The following is a 2,540-nucleotide window of genomic DNA, read 5'->3' on the forward strand; positions in this document are numbered from 1 at the left end:
CAAAAGCAAAGGAAGCCTGATAATAAGTCACTTTGATTTCAGGGAATGTTCACCAGGCAAACTTTCAATATTCTGGCAGAAGTAAAACAAATAACTGGCTTTGCAAAGCATGGTTTGCTCAGAACTGTGCTTAGGCTGGAAACATCCCAGAAGGTTCCACACACACTAAAGAAAAAAAAAATCACTCTCTCTGAATATGAGCCACTTTTAATGAATCTACAGATTAAGTGGTTTAACATACCTATCAAAGAGCACAAATCAAATTATTAAATATTTTTGCAAGAAAGTTTTAAAAGGGTTTTTTTGCAGTCATAGTTTTAAAAACTAAGACAATCACAATCATATTCTCAAATTACAGCTTATTGTGAGAAATGAAGGCTCATGTTAAAGTCCAACTATTCCTGGCTTATGAGTTCTGAAAACTGGGTTTTTGAATTTTTGGTTTTGGTTTTTTGTTTGGGTATTTTTGTTTCAGTTTGGTTTGGGGGTTTATTTTATTGTTGTGTTTGTTTGTTTGTTTGCTTTCTGAAGTTCTCTGACCCCAGCATGGTGCCTGGTACATGGCTCAATAAATAGTTTTGTTGTGGCATTGTATTAGCCATGACAATGGCAAAGATGGTAAGGTACTGCATTCATTCGAGGATCAGGACCCAGCCCACAAATACCACAAATACCAGTGACAATGATGATAATCAATAATGATTTTAGACCAAGCCATGCCTGTAATCCCAGCAACATGGGAGGCTGAGGCAAGAGGATCACTTGAGGCCAGGAGTTCAAGACCAGCCTGGGCAACATAGTGAAACCCCCATATGTCCAAAAAAAAAAAAAAAAAAAAAAAAAGCTAGCCAGGTATGGTAGCACAGACTTGTGGTCATAGCTACTCTGGAGCTGAGGCAGGAGGATCCCTTGAGCCCAGGAGTTCGAGGTTATAGTGAACTATGATTGCGCCACTGCACTCGAACCTGAGTGACAGAGTGAGACCCTGTCTCAAAAATCAAACAAAAAGATTTTAAATAATAGTTGTCACAGGTTGAACATCTGTGTTGTGCTGAACATTCATCATGGATCACTTCATTTAATCCTCCTCATAACACTGCGATCACTTAGGTACTACAATTATTATTATTACTACAATACTACAGATGAATAAAACATAGCATGAAGAAGTTAAATGTTGTGCCCCAGGTTCATGTAGCAGCTAAGTGGTGTCTGGTTCCAAAGCCTGAACTCCTAAACACTCCTCTACATGGGAAGTCAGGGTCCAAGTCTCACAGGCAGTCATCCATAGCAGGCTCTCCAGCCAGAGACCCAGACAGCCAGGGGAGGCTGGTAGGAAATGAGCAAAGACTCTACATGTGCCAAAGAGCTCATGACAATGGGCAAGGTTGAGCTGAGAGGCAGGTCTCCTGTCTAAGTTAATTGGGCTTATTAGAAACCATACCCCTAGCACCTATATTTTGGACTCTCTATCCCCCTGCACGTCTCTCAGCTGCTGGGACTGTATGAAGACTCTTCTCAAGAGCTATTGGAACTCAGTCCTCATTACCTTAGAGAATTCCCAGATTGTCCCTCAGACATCAAGACTAAAGAATTTTAAGATCTCCAGCTTGATTATAACAAACATGACTAGCATAACTACTCTCTAAACTACTGCTCAAAATGCTTAAGTGCTGAGGACCCAATTCAATTCCATTGAGACTGGGCAATCCTCAGGCAGTTCCACCGGACAGCAAGCCCAGGAGCAAAAATATAGAAGCCAACGATACAGAAATCAGGCTATAGTTACATGAGCCAAGTAAGTTAAAGAACTGAGTGATTTTTAGTGAATTTAATTCATATCATAGATCATGAAGGTACATAATAATTATTCCCATTCTCCACCATACAGATTTGAAAGTAAGAATCACCCAGTGCTCTGTTAGAGCTATGCAAAGTGAGTGAAGAGTTATAAGCCTGAATATGTCTGTGAGGAGTCCAACTATATTAATAAATTATTAGCCATTGTCCAATTATGACAGTGGCATGATCTGACCTCTGCCAACTCTCCAGCTTCATCTTGTTCTTCCTCACTCCCCTTCACTCACTGCTCTCCAGCCATATAGGCCCTGTCTGTGTCCATGCAGGACTATGCATCTATTGTTCAGTCTGGTGTGGCCCTCCCCACTTACCCTCATTGCCTGGATAACCCTTTTTATATTTTCAGGTACACATGGCAGCAACCCAAACTTAAGTGGCTCACACAATGAGGAACACATCTTAAAGTCTTTCTTTCTTTCTTCTTCTTTTTTTTTTTTTTTTTTTTTGTTGAGACAGGATTTCACTGTTGCCCATGCTGGAGTGCAGTGGTGTGATCTTGGCTCACTGTGGCTGATGCCTCCCAGGCTCAGTCCTCCCACCTCAGACTCCTGAGTAGCTAGGACTACAGGCACAAACCACCATGCCTGGCTAGTTTTTAAATTTTTTGTAGAGACAAGGTCTCACTCTGTTGCCCAGACTGGTCTTGAACTCCTGGACTCAAGTGATCCTCTTGCCTCAGC

At 41.4% G+C, this 2,540-nt stretch overlaps 1 annotated feature.

Moving 5' to 3' along the window:
- Positions 2,003 to 2,183: a silencer, noted in NCBI's record as "fragment chr2:177926638-177926818 (GRCh37/hg19 assembly coordinates)". NCBI's record gives its function as "represses an EF-1alpha promoter that drives an FKBP-Casp9 reporter gene in an ReSE screen in K562 erythroleukemia cells {active_cell/tissue: K562}" and the evidence as "EXISTENCE:reporter gene assay evidence [ECO:0000049][PMID:32094911]".

This window comes from Homo sapiens, chromosome 2 (assembly GCF_000001405.40).
Source record: "Homo sapiens chromosome 2, GRCh38.p14 Primary Assembly".
Lineage (NCBI taxonomy): Eukaryota > Metazoa > Chordata > Mammalia > Primates > Hominidae > Homo > Homo sapiens.